Source organism: Homo sapiens, chromosome 5, assembly GCF_000001405.40.
Source record: "Homo sapiens chromosome 5, GRCh38.p14 Primary Assembly".
Lineage (NCBI taxonomy): Eukaryota > Metazoa > Chordata > Mammalia > Primates > Hominidae > Homo > Homo sapiens.
In genome coordinates, this window is record NC_000005.10 from 149,387,162 (window position 1) to 149,405,847 (window position 18,686).

General features: G+C 45.9%; 1 protein-coding gene across 3 annotated transcripts in view, besides 2 other annotated features; it reads right to left on the bottom strand.

The window, feature by feature from the left end:
* IL17B (interleukin 17B) overlaps positions 1-17,041 on the bottom strand; it is a 29,936-nt gene extending 12,895 nt beyond the window's left edge. Inside the window, exons 1-3 of one of the 3 annotated variants that reach the window (XM_017009347.2) lie at positions 16,947-17,041; positions 13,534-13,694; positions 6,224-6,333 (exon numbers count right to left, since the gene is read on the bottom strand). The gene's annotated coding sequence lies outside the window, so the exon portion shown is untranslated. The remainder of the gene's footprint in view (positions 1-6,223; positions 6,334-13,533; positions 13,695-16,946) is intronic. The other 2 variants (XM_017009348.2, NM_001317987.2) reach the window with 2 other exon arrangements.
* Positions 12,606-12,775: an enhancer, noted in NCBI's record as "experimental_82075 CRE fragment used in MPRA reporter constructs". NCBI's record gives its function as "activates a minimal promoter by MPRAs in K562 erythroleukemia cells, with activity observed for both the introgressed and non-introgressed 5:148779415 variant alleles {active_cell/tissue: K562}" and the evidence as "EXISTENCE:reporter gene assay evidence [ECO:0000049][PMID:34662402]".
* Positions 17,732-18,322: an enhancer, noted in NCBI's record as "H3K4me1 hESC enhancer chr5:148784456-148785046 (GRCh37/hg19 assembly coordinates)". NCBI's record gives its function as "activates a minimal SCP1, AML or CMV promoter by ChIP-STARR-seq in primed H9 embryonic stem cells {active_cell/tissue: H9 hESC(primed)}" and the evidence as "EXISTENCE:reporter gene assay evidence [ECO:0000049][PMID:30033119]".

Here is an 18,686-nt window from a genome sequence, read left to right on the forward strand (position 1 = left end):
ATGACCTCAGCCCTCGGGGCATGTGGAGGAAGGTACAATGTCTCCAGAATGTGAAATCTTGCCAAATTTCCATTGGAAGGTCAGTTCTCATAAATACTGTGAGGAAAGAGGAAGAAATGGCTAGTGTGGAATCTGACCATTTCCAAAGTCTGGTTCCCAGGAAAGAAGCCTCGGTAATTGCTCTAATGTGAGAAGGCAGCTTCAAGGTTTATGGCTGTGGGAGATGGAAGGTGTCCAGCCAAGGACCCACGCAGATGCTGATGACAATTGCGTGATGGTAAAAGGGTTACCCCTGAAGCACTCTACAATTTGAAAAACACTTTTAGCTCAGGCGCCGTGGCTTATGCCTGTCATTTCAACACTTTGAGAGGCCGAGGCAGGAGAATTGCTTGAGGTCAGGAGTTCAAGATGAGTTCTGGCAACATAGCGAGATCCTCGTCTCTACAAAAAAATAATTTAAAAATTAGCCAGGCGTGGTGGCATGCATCTGTAGTCCCAGCTACTCAGGAGGCTGAGAGGCGAGAGGATCACTTGATCCCAATAGGTCAAGGCTGCAGTGAGCCGAGATCACACCACAGCACTCCAGCCTGGGTGACAAAGCATGCCCCTGTCTCAAAAAAAAAAAAAAAAAAAAAGGAAAGAAAAAGAACACTTTTACATCCATGACTTTTATTTACTTGCTGGATCAACACGTGAATGTAAGTATTTTACAGAAGAAGAAATTGAGGCCATACAGTGAGGAGAAAAGGGACAGAGCTTGGGATGTAAGTTGGGCCCCTGAGGTCCCTTTAACCATCAGCTACCCTAACCTTTGCCCCAGCTTAGGGAAAGTGAATGAGCACTGGAACCAGCAGCAGTTAGAGGTGGGTGCCTGTCATTAGGCAGCAGACACAGAGCACCGAAGGATATCCAAGTTATTTCTGCCATGGTCAGCTGTGCTTTATGGACAAATCTACATTGGAGAGAAATGTGTCTGGTGAGAGGGCTCCATGCCAGAGGGATAAGTTTTCTGAGTCAGCTCTGGAGAGAATTCAGGGGTCAGGCTGACCCTGATCTTTCTCTCCCCAGCAGTGTGCTCTTAGAAAAACCTAGGATTGTTTGGCCCTTCAGTCTGGCCATCACATGGCTATGTTCATAAATTCTTGTCTTCCATATTGGGATTCCCTTGTATTCTATCCCATTATCTCAACCACAGAGCTAGCTCTGACCCTGGCATTCCAGAATCACCTACAAATCTTCTCATTTTTTAGTCAATTTCTTAGACTCAAGCTCAACAGGATCATCAGGATCATTGTGCTGGCTTCTCAGTGATACTATTGTATATGCTCCCCAGCCTTTTATTAGCGTTTTAAATGTCTGTCTCCCTGCTTCTTCCATCTGCTGACTGCAAACTGACTCTTTGCGAATATACAGAGCAAAACTGTTCCCTCAGCCCCAAGGCAAGCAGTATCGGTCAGTATAGGCCAAGTTGCACTGCAGTAACAAGCAACCCCCAAATCTAAGAGGCTCGACCCAGCAAAAGTGTCCTTATCCCTATGCTACATAGCCTGTGCAGGCTAGCAGGGCATGCTGCGCTTATCAGAATCATGCAGAGACATGGTGATGGAAACTTCATCACAACACTTGCTTCCACAAGTACAAAAACAGAGTCAGAGGTCTGTAGACAACAGATCTGCAGAGGTCAAAAATCAGGTTCTGGAGTCTCTGCCCCAGCCACATATTTCCTTTGAGCAAATTCATCTCCTTAATTGTCAGTTCCTCATCTGTTAAATGAGGACAATGAGAAAGTACTGACTTCACAGGTTTGCTATGAGGCTGAGAGGATGGGTGTAAGGCCATAACGTAAAGTCTAGTTCACAGGAAGAACTCAGTAAATGTCGGCTGATAGGAAGTTGGCAGAATATTCTGTTCACTTAATTGTGGCTACCATCTCCAGAGAGAACAACCCTGGTTCTTTCCACTGTTCCTTGCTTTAACCAGTTTAATTTCTTTGAAGAGTTAAGGAATTGTCTCTTCCTAATTAATTGTCAATGTCATATTATTTTTGATGCATTTTTATCCCATCAGAGAGATTCAAAGCTGAGGCAGAAAAAGGTCTATGTGTCTTGCTAACCCCAAACTAGATTTATCCAGTTCAACTTTCATTACCAAGTCTTTGTGAGAAGTCCAAAGAAGGAAGATCAAATTTGGAAAAGAAACTTTGCTTGATATAAAACTCAATGGCAGAGAGACAGAGAAATCAAACTGGAATGTCAGAATTGGAGGGGACTTTTGGAACAAGAGCCATCATCTCCTCTCTTTTACAGATGGGAAAACAGAAGTCCAGAGAGGAAAAGAGACTGATAGAGTGTCACACAGCAATTCAGTGTCAGAGTTGGGACCAGAATCTACTTCCTTTAATCCCAGTCATGGGGCTTTCCATGTACTACATAAGGGGACAACATTCTTCAGCACTGGGATGGGGAGGAGGGGATCTCCTGGAATTATAGCTTGTCCTCATTTCACAGAGTTGTACTCCAGCAGAGCTGTAAAGTTAAGAGTCCTATAAACATTACCTTATTAAGGCTTCTTAGAAACCCAAGGTCACAAATCCTCTGGATCATGGGACATGAGCTGAGCATCCAGTGAACAAACAGATGGTAATGTTACATTTTTCACTTCGTTAATGCAACCTGGCTTCTAATTATAGGATTTGTTTAACGGTCCTGGGTGGTTTACGAAGGCTTGGAGTCAGCCTGCAGCCCTGAGCATGGCTGAGGAGTATCAGACCGGGAGACATGGGCAGGGGTTGGGGCCTCAAGGCAGGGAGGGGAGACGAGGACAAACAGAGTCAACTTCAGCCAAGGCCTGGAAGGGGATATTTAATTTTCCCTAGTCCCACTAACCGAGTTGCTCCCAGTTGGAAATCATTTCTAATAACGTCTCTGGTGCCATAACCCTTTCATACATGGGTGGTGAATATGAATTTGTTCTACAGGAGGCAGGTGAAATAATTATCATGTTACTCTAGTCATCCATGTCAAATTGAATTCCCCTGCTATTACTGGTATTAGTGACCCCCCCCCTCCCTGTCCCTGGGGAAAGATGGGTCAGGGGCCTGGCTCCATCTCTTTGTCCGTCACTATAGTTAAGCTCATGATCTAAGGAGGCAACAGGTGGGGACTGGTCGGGGACAGAATGGGATCATTATGAAGATGAAAGGCTCCCAGTCTCATGCAGCCAATCTGGGATACAAGGGTCTTGTGAAGACTCTCCCACGCCCAGATGCTTAAGGTCCAGCCCAGCTACCACGTAGTGACACCCCCCTCCTCATTCAGGGCTCTGTTGCAAGCTCAGCCTGGGCCCCCACCACTTAAGGAAACCCCCCCAAACCCTCATCATGTCCCAAGTTTTCCAAATCTCACAGCACCTCCATCCCTGAGTTAGCACACACACACACACACACACACACACACACACACACACACACAGAGATACACAAGGCCCTCCAAGTCCCTTCGCCAACCCAGCTCTGAAAACGCTTAAAGCTAGGTAAGTGATTTCCAAAGTAGGGTGTCATTTGAGGCTTAGGAAGACTATCAGGTCTTCTATTTTTACCTCTGTCTTTTCTCATTTCTATTTTTTATTTGTGTTAAAGGAACATATTAGTATAATAGCTCTTTATAGAATTTATAAATAAATATTTATTTTTAAAAATAACTTTAAATTAAAATTTTTTTAATAAACTGTTATTTATTGTTAGGAGTTTATGGTCAAAAAGGGTTGGGACCCCTGGACCAGGATTTTGGTTTTTTGTGGGGAGTTTTTCCTTTGTGTTTTGTTTTGTTTTGAGAGAACCTGATTCTGTCACCCAGGCTGGAGTACAATGGCGCTATCTCAGCTCACTGCAATCTCCACCTCCCAGGTTCAAGCCTCCCACCTCAGCCTCCTGAGTAGCTGGGATTACAGGCACCTGCCATCATCCCCAGCTAATTTTTGTATTTTTGTAGAGATGGGATTTTACCATGTTGGCCAGACTGGTCTTGAACTCCTGACCTCAGGTGATCTGCTCGTCTTGGCCTCCCAAACTGCTGGGATTACAGACGTGAGCCACTGCGCCCAGCGTTGGACCAGGATTTTGAACACAAAGCCTCTTAACTCTGGGTGGGATGGTCCCAGCCTGTCGGGACTGGGAAGAGCAGGGAGAAAGACACCCAGGCTTAGAGGCATGGAGAACCTCAGCCACGGGGGTGTCACCAAGTGACTGCCTGCCCCAGGCACAAAGTCTCTTTCCTTTAACACCAGGATAAAATGGCTTCAGTTCCCAACCCACACAATCAGAGAATGCAGGGAATTCTTCCCAATTTTAGAGTTTTAGGGGGCTTAAGTTTCTCCTAAATTAGTCCTTGGCACAGCCTGCTGTTTCACAGTGCTGGCTCCTGATTTGGGCTCCTGTCTCTGAGGCTACTACCCATTCCTCCAACCACTGGGCCCCCTAAGCACCTCTCCTTCATCTCTCAAGTGTCATTCCTGGGAATGCAATTCTGGAAGCATGGCAGGCCCGTCACTGAGCTGTCAGTGGAGGAGGGTGATTGAACTGTGTGCAATGGAGGACGGCGACTGGCCGGTGTGCAATAGAGGAGGGTGACTGACTGGTGTGCATGACTTCACCATTGGCTATAAGCTCTGCAAGCCTAAAGGTCACTGTCGTGACCCCAGGAACTTCTCATCGGCCTTGTCTCACATTAGTCCTCAGCCTCCTACAGTTCCCAGGCCTCCTCCTTCAAAGGATGTCCTCCTTTCTCCCCATGCCCTGCCCTCTTCCCCAGCTTCTCATCCCCTTACTCTCTCTCCCAGGCTGCCTGGAGAAACTCAAAATTTCTGTGACACAGGCCTCTTGTACATTGCAAGTGGGAGTACACAATGGTTACAACCTCCATGAGGGAGGTGGGTAACGGGATAGAGTAATATCTATGAGAATCACAAATGCACAAGGACTTTGATCCAACAATCGCTCTTCTACGCCTTTGTCCAACAGAGGCAGCCCCATGTGGAAATGACACAAAGACCAGGACAGGCTTTGCAGCATTGTTTGTAATCACAAAGGACTTTTACTTCTATCTTTTCTAATTTCTATCTTGTATTTGTGTTAAAGGAATCTGTTAGTACAATAGCATCCTCAAAGTGCTCATCCTTATAGGATGGGTTGCATGACTTATGGCACTTCCGTGCAGTGGAACCCTATCCAACCATTCAAAGAATGAGGCAGCCCGCTGTAGAATGATACACTCCAATAGCCAATAGCTGTTATTAAGTAAATGAAGTAAGGTGCATAAGAATGTGAATAGTACACCCCAATCTGTACCCCAAAAATGCAGGGACTGTACATATGTATACTTGTAAGTGTATGTGCTTGCATTTGCATAGACTCTCTGGAAGTCTATATAAAAATTTAGAGTGATTTTCTCTGGGGAGGGGAATGGGTTGATAAGGGAGTGGGGTTAGAAGGGAAGTTACTCTTCACAGAACACCCTTTGTACCTCTGTGATGGTGACAATGTATAGATATTATCTATTCAAACAATAAATACTATTTTTAAATGAAAACATAAATTGCTGTTACTGTATGCTGTGGATCATTTCATTCTCTCTCTTTCTCTCCCTCTGGAGGCTGGGCCCAAGAGGCCTTACCTTTGAGTCAATAACGTCATCTAGAAGTGAGTCATGTCTTACCCTCTAAGGCTGAAACAACCACAGTCTCTGCATCTGTGTACGTGTGTGTGCATGTGTGTGTACGTGCGTGTGTGCGTGCGTGTGTGCGTGTGTGTGCGCGCGTGCGTGTGTGTGTGCGTGTGTGTGCTGCGTGTGTGCATGTCTGCGTGTGTGTGGGCGTGTGTGTGCGTGTGTGTGCGCATGTGTGTCTGCGTGTGTGAGATTGTTTTCCCCTTTCCTTCCTCAGCAGCAAGTTACCTAACCCGTTTATTGTACAAATAGAAAAACTGAGGCCCAATCACCCACCCAATGTCACCCAGAAAGTCATCCTCTGAGTGGCTCTGAATCCAGCCTCTGGGCTTTGACTTATGCTGTTCCCTTTGCTTCAATGCCCTTCTCTGCCGTTTTTACTCTTCAGGTCGCAGTGCACGCTTCCAAGAAGCTTCCCAGATCCCTCAGTAGGAAATGAGCTTTCAGTGTGCCCTATGCATCCCTGTGGCTCCGTACAAATTAGCAATTGGCTCTTTACCTACCTGCCTTCCCCAACAGAGGGTGGACGTTCCCTGAAAGCAAGGACTTGGTCTTCATCTCTAGAGCCCCAGGCCTAGTTCAGTGTGAAGCCTAGAACTTCAGTGTTTAAGACCTGAATAAATAAATGAATAAATACATGAGTGCGTTAATTCCTGCATCTTCCGAAACCCTCGTTTCACTGAGCTCTCTCATATCACTTAACACTGTCTTCCTTATAGTGTAATTATTTTTGGGCATATTTGCAGTGGACACCTTCTTCCTAACTCCCTCCCTCTCTTCCTCTCTTCCTCCCTTCCTTCCTTCTTTTTTTTCTTCCTTCCTCCACAATGTATCCTCAGACAGACATAGATTCTGAGAACATTATTTAAGCCCCTGGATCCAGCCATACCTAAAGCTGAACTACCCGTGGACTTTTCAGTCACATGAGCCAATGAACTCCCTTTTATTTTGAAGCCACTAAGAGTTGAGTTTCCATTCTTCTCTGAAAAAGAGTGTTGAGGAATGTAGTGAATTGGGAACTGATCATAATCCTGCAAGACACAACACCAAATGCCATAACTCTGAATGTTGAAATCCTGAAAAATCAAAATCCTGAAAATAGAATTCTGAAAAAATCATTTTAAAATTCGTTAAAAGACATTTATTTATAGATTTAAAGGGAGTTTAATTGAGAGACATATCAAAACATGTCAGGACACTTTACAGGTCACTTGCCACAGTAAGATAGGCAATAAAAACGTACACATTTTTGCAAGCATAAACACTCAGGTACACTAATGACAGTCGCACGAGTGTAACAGTTACGCGCAGATGAACTATATTCATGAAGAAATAGGTCAAAAAGGGAAATCTACAAATGCATATCGCTATGGTTGTTAATTGTGTGCACCCAGCTTTCTAACTGCGGCCATCTGAAATACCATGACAGACAATCTGAGTCTTTTGACAAGATCAATAAAAAACTGCAATGGGTCACCACTGCATATACAGTCACCCAAAGAACCGAGATCTTGAGAAATTTTATCTTTCACAAATGCACATGTACAAAAAGGACTTCTCTTCATTTATTGAGGAAGTTTCAATGCTTTTACATACACGCATTATGCTTACAAAGTCCACGTTGTGATAATGCACTTCTGTGGAGTCAGATTTGCAAAAACACATGAAACTAATTAGGACTCTCTAAAAGTCTTTACATAATTCCAGTATTGGAAATGATGTGAAGATGATATGAAAACTGTATTACAGGGATAGATTATGGGCAATTACACAGAGGTAGTCCATAAGAGCTGGCCAACTTTCACAATCATTCACTATATTTTGACGTCTTGCATAAAAATGAAAAGCTGTTTTTTTCTTTCTTTTAGCGTATGGCTCTGCTTGGAGAATACATCACACTCATTTCCTATGTGGCACTGCTCTTTCTGAAATTCTTCTGTGATTCTATATACATGGCCATGAACCTTCCCTATTAAATGTTCCCATCTTTTTTTTAACTTTTATTTTAGGTTTAAGGGTACCTGTGCAGGTTTGTTATATAGGTAAATTTTGTGTCACAAGGGTCTGGTGTGCACATTATTTCATCACCCAGGTAACAAACGTAATACCTGATAGATACATTTTTTTATCCTCTTGCTCCTCCCTCAGGCAGGCCCCAGTATTTAGTGTTCCCTTCTTTGTGTCCATGTGTTCTCAGTGTTTAGCTCCCACTTATAAGTGAGAACATGTGGTATTTGATTTTCTATTCCTGCATTAGTTCACTTAAGATAATGACCTCCAGCTTCCATCCATGATGCTGCAAAGGACATGATCTCTCTCTTTTTTTAATGGCTGCATAGTATTCCATGGTGTATATGTGCTACATCTCCTTTATCCAGTCTGCCATTGATGGGCATTTAGGTTGATACCATGTCTTTGCTATTGTGACTAGTGCTGCAATGACACTGCAATGACACATGCATGTGTCTTTATGGTAGAACTATTTATATTCCAAATTTTCCCATCTTCTGTGCCATGTTTTTATGGTGTCTTGGGCTCACGGAAATTCATTCCACACCCACTCATATACAGACCACAGATTTGGTAGAAATAACGCTGGTGATTGAACAGCAACACCATTGTGTAAGTGTCTTCTTATCCTACTGTGCACATAATTACTTTTGAACAGGTCAGTGATTTCACTAGCTTCTTCAGGCAAATGCGACTTTAATTCATGAAACGCTCCTAAAATGTCATCAACTGGAAGGAATGCCAATGCAGTCAAATGATGCATTTTTATTTTTTTATTATTTTTTATTGTTATTCTTTTGAGGAGGAGTCTCGCTCTGTTGCCCAGGCTGGAGTGCAATGGTGCAATCTCGGCTCACTGCAACCTCTGCCTCCCAGGTTCAAGCAATTCTCGTACCTCAGCCTCCTGAGTAGCTGGGACGACAGGTACATGCCACCATGCCCAGCTAATTTTTGTATTTTTACTACAGATGGGGTTTCACCATGTTGGCCAGGCTGGTCTTGAACTCCTGGCCTCAAGTGATCCACCCACCTCGGCTTCCCCAGAGTACTGGGATTACAAGTACTGGGATTACTGGGCCACCACACCTGGGTGGCCCACCACACCTGGCCCATATTTTTAAACTGAAGTTGTCGTTGTTGCCATATCTTGTGGCCAATCCACTCATCTGAATTTTCTGCCAAATGCAGTGGGCTGAATGAAAAAAAATAAACTGCATTGCTAATACCTTGAAATTCACTTTTAGAAGCTTGATCACACCTAATTCCAAATCTGTCAGTATGGTTTGAAGATTCAGTTGAAATCCATTTTCTTTTGCAAAGTCCACTGAATCTTCAAATCAGCATTGATAAAGTGCTTCACTTTTTCCAGTCATTAATATACACATAAGCAGATATATTCTAGAAATTTCAGACCTAACAGGGACATGAATTGTATATAGTTGATCTTTTTTAAAAAAACAGTCAGGACATTTTGAAAGTGCCATTCATTGGCCAAAGTGAAGCATGTGCTAGGTATTCTGTTAGATTTAGAGTTAATATAAGAAGTCTATCTTCTTTGACAGTCAAACCTCTTATTGAGAATAGCTCGGCTGGGTGCAGTGGCTCTGTCATTTCAGCACTTTAGGAGGCTGAGGCAGGTGGAATGCTTGAGTCCAGGAATTTGAGACCAGCCTGGGCAACATGGAGAAATCCCATCTCTACAAAAAATACAAAAAATATAGCCAGGCGCAGCGGTGTACGCTTATAGTTCCAGCCTATAGTCCCGGAAGGCAGAGGCGGGAGGATCACCTGAGCCTGGGAAGTTGAGGCTGCAGTGTGCCATGATCGCACCATTGCACTCCAACCTGGGCGACAGAGTGAAACCCTGACTCAAAAAAAATAAAAATAAAAGTAAGAATAGTTCACCATGTAATGTGTTTTGTAACACTGGAGGAAAAGACATCTCAATATCAGCAAGTGCCTTTGGTTCAGAAGGTCGCTGAACTGGTCGAACTCTTCTCATTCTCTGACGAAGGGCGTTTTTTTAAGGCAAGCATGGCGCTATATGGGAAGGGGCAGAAGTTGTACACAATTGAATAATTTGGCAGGAGAGGGTTCTTGTATTTTTCACCTGTGTCTTCACTTCTTTGATATTTGAAATACTCTCTGCACTTGTACTTGGAGAGTGGTTGTGGTCTACACATTCTGCAAGTATATGTTGTACATTTGAGTGGTTATTACTCGGCCATTGCAATTAAGTGATATTCTGCTTTTGCAGCACCAATAACAACTCATTTTTAATCTTTTTTTTTCTTTTGAGATGGAGTTTTGCTCTTTCACTCAGGCTGGAGTGAAGTGGTGCGATCTCTGCTCACTGCAACATCTACCCCTTGGGTTCAAGCGATTCTCCCACCTCAGCCTCCCGAGTAGCAGGATTATAGATGCCCGCCATCAGGCCCGGCTAATTTTTGTATTTTTAGTAGAGACAGCGTTTTGCCATGTTGGCCAGGCTGGTTTCAAACTCCTGACCTCAGGTGATCCACCCGCCTTGGCCTCCCAAAATGGTAGGATTATAGGCGTGAACCACCGTGGCTGGCCCATTTTTAAACTTTTATCTTTTACCTTAAGTAGCCTTATACACTTCACTATCATGGCCTTTTTGCGAGGGAACAATTTCACAGATCCCTTCCATTGTGTTGTAAGAAACACAATAAAAAGAAATGCTATTCTGTTTCCCTAATACCAAATCTGTATTAGTCAGCGTTCTCTAGAGAGATAGAACCCGTTGGATGCGCATGTAGATATATGAGAGATTTATTAGGCGGATTGACTCACATGATTACAGTGGCTGAGAAGTCTTGCAACAGGCCGTCTACAAGCTGGAGACCCTGGGAGGCTGGTAGCATGACTCAGGCAGAAAGCCCCAGGACCCAGGGGCCACTGGTGTAAGTCCTAGAGTCCAAAAGCTGGCAAGCCTGGAGTTCTGATGCTCAAAGCAGCAGAAAAGTCTGTCCCAGCTCTCAGAGAGAGACCATTTGCCTTCTGTATTTGTTTTCTCCTGGCCCCCTGCCTATTAGATGATGCCCACCAACATTGAGGGCAGATCTTCCCTACCTATTCCACTCAGACCCACACACAGATCTCCTCTAGAAACACCCTCACACATACACACCCGACATAATGCTATATTAGGTTTCTAGATAGCCCTTCATCCAGTCAAGTCGATACCTAAAATTAAGTCCATAAGTCCACCCCTTGTCAACTTGGCACCAAGACACATCTCCAGAAACCATATCTAATTTCCAAATAAAGACAACAACAAGGTAATAGTTTTGTCTAACATAATGCAACCATCCCATGATTGTGATTTTAGGGACTTTAGATATTAGAGATTTAGACTTCAGGGATTTTAATCTTTTGGGACTTTAACATTCAGGATTATCATGTTTGAGATTGTATCTTGCAAGATAATGATCCAAACTCCAGTGAATTAACACTTCCCCTTAACTGTATCGGAAAGGGTCTGATTTCCCTTCCTAGCCACCATGGTGCTGAGCACAGCATTTTGTACACAATAAACACTCATACGTTTTTGAGAAAAGAGAGCGGCAGACACAGACACAGCCCTTACAGAGCTAGTGATGGAGGAGGGCAGACCCAGGCAGCACAATTCTTTACTGTATTTGTCCATTTTCACACTGCTGATAAAGACATACCCGAGACTGGGCAGTTTACAAAACAAAGAGGTTATTGGGGCTGGGCCCAGTGGCTCACGCCTGTAATCCCAGCACTTTGGGAGGTGGAGGTGGGCAGATCATCTGAGGTCAGGAGTTCGAGACCAGCATGGCCAACATGGATAAACCCCATCTCTACTAAAAATACAAAATTTGCTGGGCATGGTGGCAGGCACCTGTAATCCCAGCTACTCAGGAGGCTGAGGCAGGAGAATCTCTTGAACCAGGGAGGCAGAGTTTGCAGCCCAGATGTCACCACTGTACTCCAGCCTGGGTGACAGAGCAAAACTCTGTCTCAAAAAAGAAGTTATTGGACTCACAGTTCCACATGGCTGGGGAGGCCTCACAATCATGGCAGAAGGTGAAAGGCACTTCTTACGTGGCAGCAGCAAGAGAGAAGAGTGCTTGTCTAGGGAAACTCCCGTTTTTAAAACTATCAGATCTCGCGAGACTCATTTGCTATCATGAGAACAGCATGGGAAAGACCTGGCCCCATGATTCAATTATCTCCCACCAGGTCCTTCCCACAACACATGGGAACTATGGGAGCTACAAGACGAGATTTGTGTGGGGACGCAGCCAAACCATATCACTCCCCTAACATTTTCCAGGGCCCTGCCCGGGTGCTGTCAGGTGGGCAGAGAGTAGCAACCCTGTTCACAGCTGGGGCATCAGGGATCTCAGCCACACAGCAAGTTAGTGGCACAACTGGGCCAAAAGCTTGGCCTCCTGGTTCAGTTCCCTTCTAAATCCTTTACCTATCATTCAGGAAGAATGCTGGGTTTGGACTGCGCATGCACACAATTGCACACAATACTCTGGACATAAACAAGAAAAATGGTAGTGGCGGGAAGTTGATCATGGTTGGGAGAAGACAATTATCTTTTTTTTTAATCTCTGTAAGAAATAATAAAGAAACAAATTTGGGTGGGTGGGACAGCCTTGTGGAACAAATTTACGAAGTTAGTTCCCAGCATGTGGCACAAGGTTCCTGAGTGTGTTAATGACTGTGAACACTGCTGTGTTTGTTGAGTGAATTGTGGATGGTGGGATTTTGTGTCAGGTGGGTTTGATTAGCTGTGGCTGTCACCCTGTGAGTTAATAATAGGGCCGGGACTCCCGCAGTCCTCACCTCCTGGTTTCTGAGGACAGTGTTGTTTCTAATACCCCAGGTGCATGTGCTCAGTGGCAGGAATTTTTGCCAGCTGCAAAATGACCAGGGTTGGGTGGCAGACAGAGGATGTTGGATTTAGGTCAGGGGTTTGGTGGATTGGTGCTGCATCCATTCCAACCTTCATTACTGCAGAGCCTTGTAAGCTAAAAACTACATTTCCCAGACTTCCAGTGGTTCTGGAGGGAGGTTACCTTCCTGCTTCTTCACAGTAGCTACTGGCAAGCACCCCTATATGGGTTTGTCCACATCAGTGGTCCCTTACACATGTTTAGGGTTGAACTATGTCCCCCCTCCCCAAATTTCTATGTTTAATTCCCAGTCCTCAACACCTCAGAATTTGACCTTATTTGGAAACAGGGTTGCCACAGATGTAATTAGTTAATATGAGGTCAGACTGGATTAGGGTGGGCCCCTAATCCAATATGACTTATAAAAAGAGTACCTTTGGAAACAGCACACACAGGGAAAACACCATGAGAAGATGAAAGCAGATATCAGGGCGATACATCTACAAGCCAAGAAAGGCCAAAGATTGCCAGCAAGCCGCTAGAATCTAGGAGGCCTGGAACAGATTCTCTCTCACAGCCTTAGAAGGAGCCAGTTCTGCTGACACTTATCTCGGACTTCTAGCCCCCAGAGCTGTGAGATAAATTCCCATCATTTAAGCCACCCTGTCTGGATGGAGTGTTTGGTTACAGCAGCCCTGCCTGACTGACACAACCGGTCGCTGGCTTTGTGGGTGTGGCAGAGGCAGGAGTGACCTCCTAACCCTGGACACAGCTGCAGCAGTGTATTCTTCACATGACAGTGGAGCTCCCCCTCCAGAGTCCACTGTAGTCAGAGTTATCCAGCTAAACAGAGCCAACGGGATATATAGAGACACAGAAGAGGAGAGTTATCTCGGAAATTGGCTTACATGATTATAAAGGCCAGCAAGTCCCACGTTTTGCCACCTGCAAGCTGGAGGACCAGGAAAGCTGCTGGTATGACTTAGTCCAGGTTCAAAGGGCTGGAGCCAGGGGTGCCACTGGTGTAAGTCCCAGAGTCCCAAGGAGCAAGAACCAGGAGCTCTGATGTCTGAAGCCAGAAGAAGACACATGTTCCAGCTCAAGAAGAGAGAATTCACCCCTCCTCCACCCTTTTGTTCTAGTCAGGCTCTCGATGGACTAGATGCTGCCCCTCTGCATTGGCAAAAAGCGATCTGCATTGAAAAGCCAATCTCTTCCAGAAACACACCAACAGACACATCCAGGAGCAATGCTTTACCAGCTATCTGGGCATCCCATAGCCCAATCAAATTGATACATAAAATTAACCATCACATCACTTCTGATGGCAGTAGAGGTAGCATCTGCCTTGACAGGACAATTTTGTGGTTTTCAAAGTCATTCCCAAGGGTCCTTTCTAGGGCCCACTTCTCTAATTTTCCTAATTGCATAAGCTTCCGATTCCCTGTAGTAAATCCCTTTCTGCTCAAATGAGCAGGAATAATTGCTTTCCTGCACATGGACCCTGACTGGTAAGACTTGATTAGACAATGGACACTGAATTAAATTTTCAATTTTTCACAGTTGCCATACATAAATTCTAAAACAAAGTAAGCTGTCAAGGTCTCGTGGTATGCCTTTTTAAAAGTGATAATTGGACTGGGCATGGTGGCTTATGCCTGTAATCCCAGCACTTTGGGAGGCTGAGGCGGGTGGATCACCTGAGGTCAGGAGTTCAAGACCAGCCTGGCCAACATGGTGAAACCCCATCTCTACTAACAGTACAAAACTAGCCGGGTGTGGCAGCACATCTCTACTAACAGTACAAAATTAGCCAGGTGTGGTAGCATATGCCTGTAATTCCAGCTACTTAGGGGGCTGAGGGAGGCTGAGGGAGGAGAATCACTTGAACCCAGGAGGCGGAAGTTACAGTGAGCCAAGATTGCACCACTGCACTCCAGCCTGGGTGACAGAGGAAGAAACCCTCTCAAATAAATAAATAAATGTGATAATTGCCTAAAAACAAGAAATGCTCAATGAAAATCAAGACAAAAATCAAATACAGAAAACTATAGTGAAGTAAGCCCAAATCACCCCAAATTCCCTCCACCCAGAGATAACTTCTCTTCTTATTTTGTTGAACGTTCTTTCACACATCGAACGGTGCATTTTACATGCACGGTCACATGTGTTACCCTGCACTGTTCAGGGTGCAATTAGTGTGGCCCGGTTTTCCTTGAAACTTCAAGTGTTCAAGCCCCATGTGCTGGTGATAGCAGGAAGTCCAGCATGCAGCCCAGCTGCTCTCTACAGGGTTTTCACTGCCTCCCTCTTACACACAGAGGGTTCCCGTACAGGCGTCTTGGAAGGAGGTGTCCAGACCCATGTGGTCTTGTATCAGTGCACTGACCATGGTGGAAGGACATGAATAACCGAGCAGGAGCTAATCTTGGTGAGTAATATTCGAGTTGTCAGTCAGGTTCACTACTCCCAAAGCAGCCACGGTAGTGGAAGACGGTGCTCCCCCTAGACCAGAGAAGGGCTCCAAGCCAACCACCCAGGGCCCTTCAATGCAAGCCTTTCCCACAAAGATTTGGGAGGACTGGGCTACACCATTGTTCCCCTTCCCATAACCATTCTTCCCTGGCGATCAACATAAAAGGTGTGTTACATCCTTCTCTCAGGACAATGAGTTAATTCACCCTCCCCTGCCATTCCCAAAGATACTACCTTTGGGCACTCCACAGTGACTTCCTGTCCTGGCCTATCTGTGAAGTAGATTAGGGAAGAGACAACACACAAATTCAACCTCCAGCAGGGCGCCTTGCTACTCTCACACTTACCCTCTCCTGACACACACATACGTACACATCATTTGACTTAAAAGGGATTATACAATTTATCTTCTTTAATACCATGCTTTTAAAAAAAAAAAAAAAAAAAGAACAAAAACTCGTGCCGGGCACGGTGGCTCATGCCTGTAATCTCAGCACTTTGAGAGGCCGAGGCGGGCGGATCACAAGGTCAGGAGATCAAGACCATCCTGGCTAACACGGTGAAACCCCATCTCTATTAAAAATACAAAAAATTAGCCAGGCGTGGTGGCACATACCTGTAGTCCCAGCTACTTGGGAGGCTGAGGTGGGAGAATCGCTTGAACCCGGGAGGCAGAGGTTGCAGTGAGCCGGGATCGCACCATTGCACTCCAGCCTGGGTTACACAGTGAGACTCCATCTCAAAAAAAAAAAAAAAAAAAAAAACTCAATAGCAAGTTGTAGACAGTTTTTTGTTTGTTTTGTTCTGTTTTGTTTTGTTTTGTTTTGTTTTGTTTTGTTTTGAGACAAGGTCTCATTCTATAGCCCAGACTGGAATGCAGTGATGCAATCTCGGCTTACTGTAGCCTCTGCCTCCCAGGCTCAAGTGATCCTCCCACTTCAGCCTCCCAAGGAGCTGGGATTACAGGCACAGTCCACCATGCCCAGCTAATTTTTTGTATTTTTTATAGAGACGGGGTTTCACCGTGTTGCCCAGGATGGTCTCAAACTCCTGGGCTCAAGAGATCCTCCTGCCTCAGCCTCCCAAAGTGCTGGGATTACAGGTGTGAGCCACCACGCCTAGCCATGTGGGCAGCTTTCCATGGTATGATGCTTTTGAGAAAATGGTTGGATTGCAAGGCAAATAATTATAGGCATTTCATCACTAATTGTCCATATTCCCACCTCCCACATACCAACTCTACCAACAAAAAAAAAGTTTTATGTTCATTGAAGAGAACATATGGGGCTTGATTTTTAACTCAGGGGTTATGGGCCTTTTCAATATAAAATTGTTTCCCAACTGGCCACCTCTGAGCTGAGCCTCCTGGGTAGAATTAGTGTGAATTCAGGGTTGGAGATTAGGGACAGGTTGGGAGGTGAGAACAGAAAGGGTGAAGTGAAGCCCATACGATCTCAGGGCTGGGAAGGGACTTGCCAAGTTGTCCAGCCTCTGCTTGCATTCCCTTAATAACAGGGAACTCACCACTTTACCAAGACAGCTTGTTAGCCCACTTCATCCTTGGTTAGTTCCACTGGCTTAAAAAGTATTTCCCATGTGGATCTAGATTCCATCTTCCTAAAGGTTCCAACTGTACCAATTCAAGGTCTTCCTTGGTCACTCTGTAGAGAAGTAGAGCCGGCTCTCCCAGGGCCCATGAGTCCTCTATTCTCCTGGACAGGGTCCCCCTCCCCCTGACTAAATACACCATCTGAAAACACAGGACTCAACGATGCAAACTCACTCTCATACTCAGCTCCTAACAGGAACCTCCCTTCACCTCCCAAGAAGCCTTACTCACACATACCAAGCCGCAGTCTGTCGACCTGTTTTCTCTAGGAATGGAGGGATTTCAAGGCTGCCTCTCCCAGTCTGGAAAGAAAAGCCACTTCACAGAATGAGTTGTTCATAATGTAAAGTGTTCATAACTCCCAAGAGACAGTATGGGCAGGAAATAGAAACAGCTTCCAAATATTTGAGACAGATTTATGGACACTGAGTCACAAATGGCTGCCATATACTTCGCCTTTTGAGCTAGTCTGGTGGCAGAACACCTCTCTCCTGATATTCAAGGACCTGTCTCCAGGTCGCTTCAGTTCCTTGTCTTGCCTCTCGCAATGGGCTTTCTGCTGACCAAGCCCATTGACTCATGGGCGTAGCCGACTAAAGCACTCGGCCAGGTGCAGAGTTTTTGGGCATTTCAATGGTGGGGGTCTCCCCACAGCTTGCACTGCTAGTTTTTCTGTTTGTTCTTGATGACGAACTCTCTACTGTTTATACAGTAGCAGAACTCACAGAAGCATAACTTACGTTTCACAGCCTCCAGAGTGGACTTTACATAAACACGATGTTTCTGTTAGGCCGGCTTTATCTTCCCTCTAGAGTCTGTCAGTGGTGCTTTGGAGTATTCGACTGGGCCACTGTGCAGGGTTGGGGAGTGGTGTCACAAGCCTTCCCTAACCCACCATCTCTGACCTGCACCCCAGGGCATGCACATGAACGGAATTCATCTTCTTGGTTTGGAAAAGAAGGGGGTGACATTAGTGGCGAAACCTCCGTGTAGAGCTCTCGCACCGCAACTCTGAGTCATAGCTTACATCGATCAAGCACTCACTCTGAAGCAGGCTCGGGGCTAAACCTTCACAACCATTGACTCTGTGCTACAGAGGAGACAGTGATCTTCACAGAAGTTAGTTCCCAGAGGGCTTTCCCCAGCCCCACCATTGGGAGCAGAGGGGCAGGGCTGAGCCCAGTCTCACTCGAGTCCTGCTCACACCTTCCTCCAGGACTGCACGGGCCACCTCGCCCAGCCCTCATGGCAATGCTGAAGGCAGGTGTGATTCTCGCCATTTTACCCAAGGGGAAAGGGAGGCACCGGGGGAAAGGGAGGCTGGGAGCGGCAGACCTCACAGCTAGGAAGTGGCCAAGGCAGGAAGAAGCCCACCGGCCTTTCAACACCAACAGAATTCTTTCCTCAGAAGGAATGAGGGAGGGTGGAGGGGTAAGGACATGGCATTTTTAATCCTCCTGTTGGACTGGGAGGCTCTCAAGGTCAGGGACAGTGTCTGATTCAGCACCCCACCCCCTCGGGCCCTCAACTGGCCCCACTCAGGATGTCACAAGGCCCCGTGTGCTGCTGGAGGGGGTCCCAGGGTCGGTGACAGGCAGACCACAGCCTCTGGCCTGGAAGGAGGAGAGAGGGATTGGCAGGCCCATCCAGGCTGGGGGTCTGAGGAACTGTGAATGAGGCCGTGAACAGAGACCGCTGGGGTCCAGCAGGCCTGGCTGCAGAAGGGAAGCTCTGCGCAGTGGAAGGCAGGACCCGGTGGCAGCCCTGGGAGCAGGCCCCGCTGGCCCCTGGGAGAAGACCTCCATGGGCCTCAGCACGACACTCCTAGGCTGGCAGCCGAGGCCTGGTTCACGTGATCCCTTGATTTGTGTTTTCTGACCTTTCTTCACAGACACTCTAGGAAGCCTGGGGACACAGAGCCTGCCAGGGGAAGTCACACTCTCATGAAAGAGCTAGCCAGCAAGAAACTAGAACCGT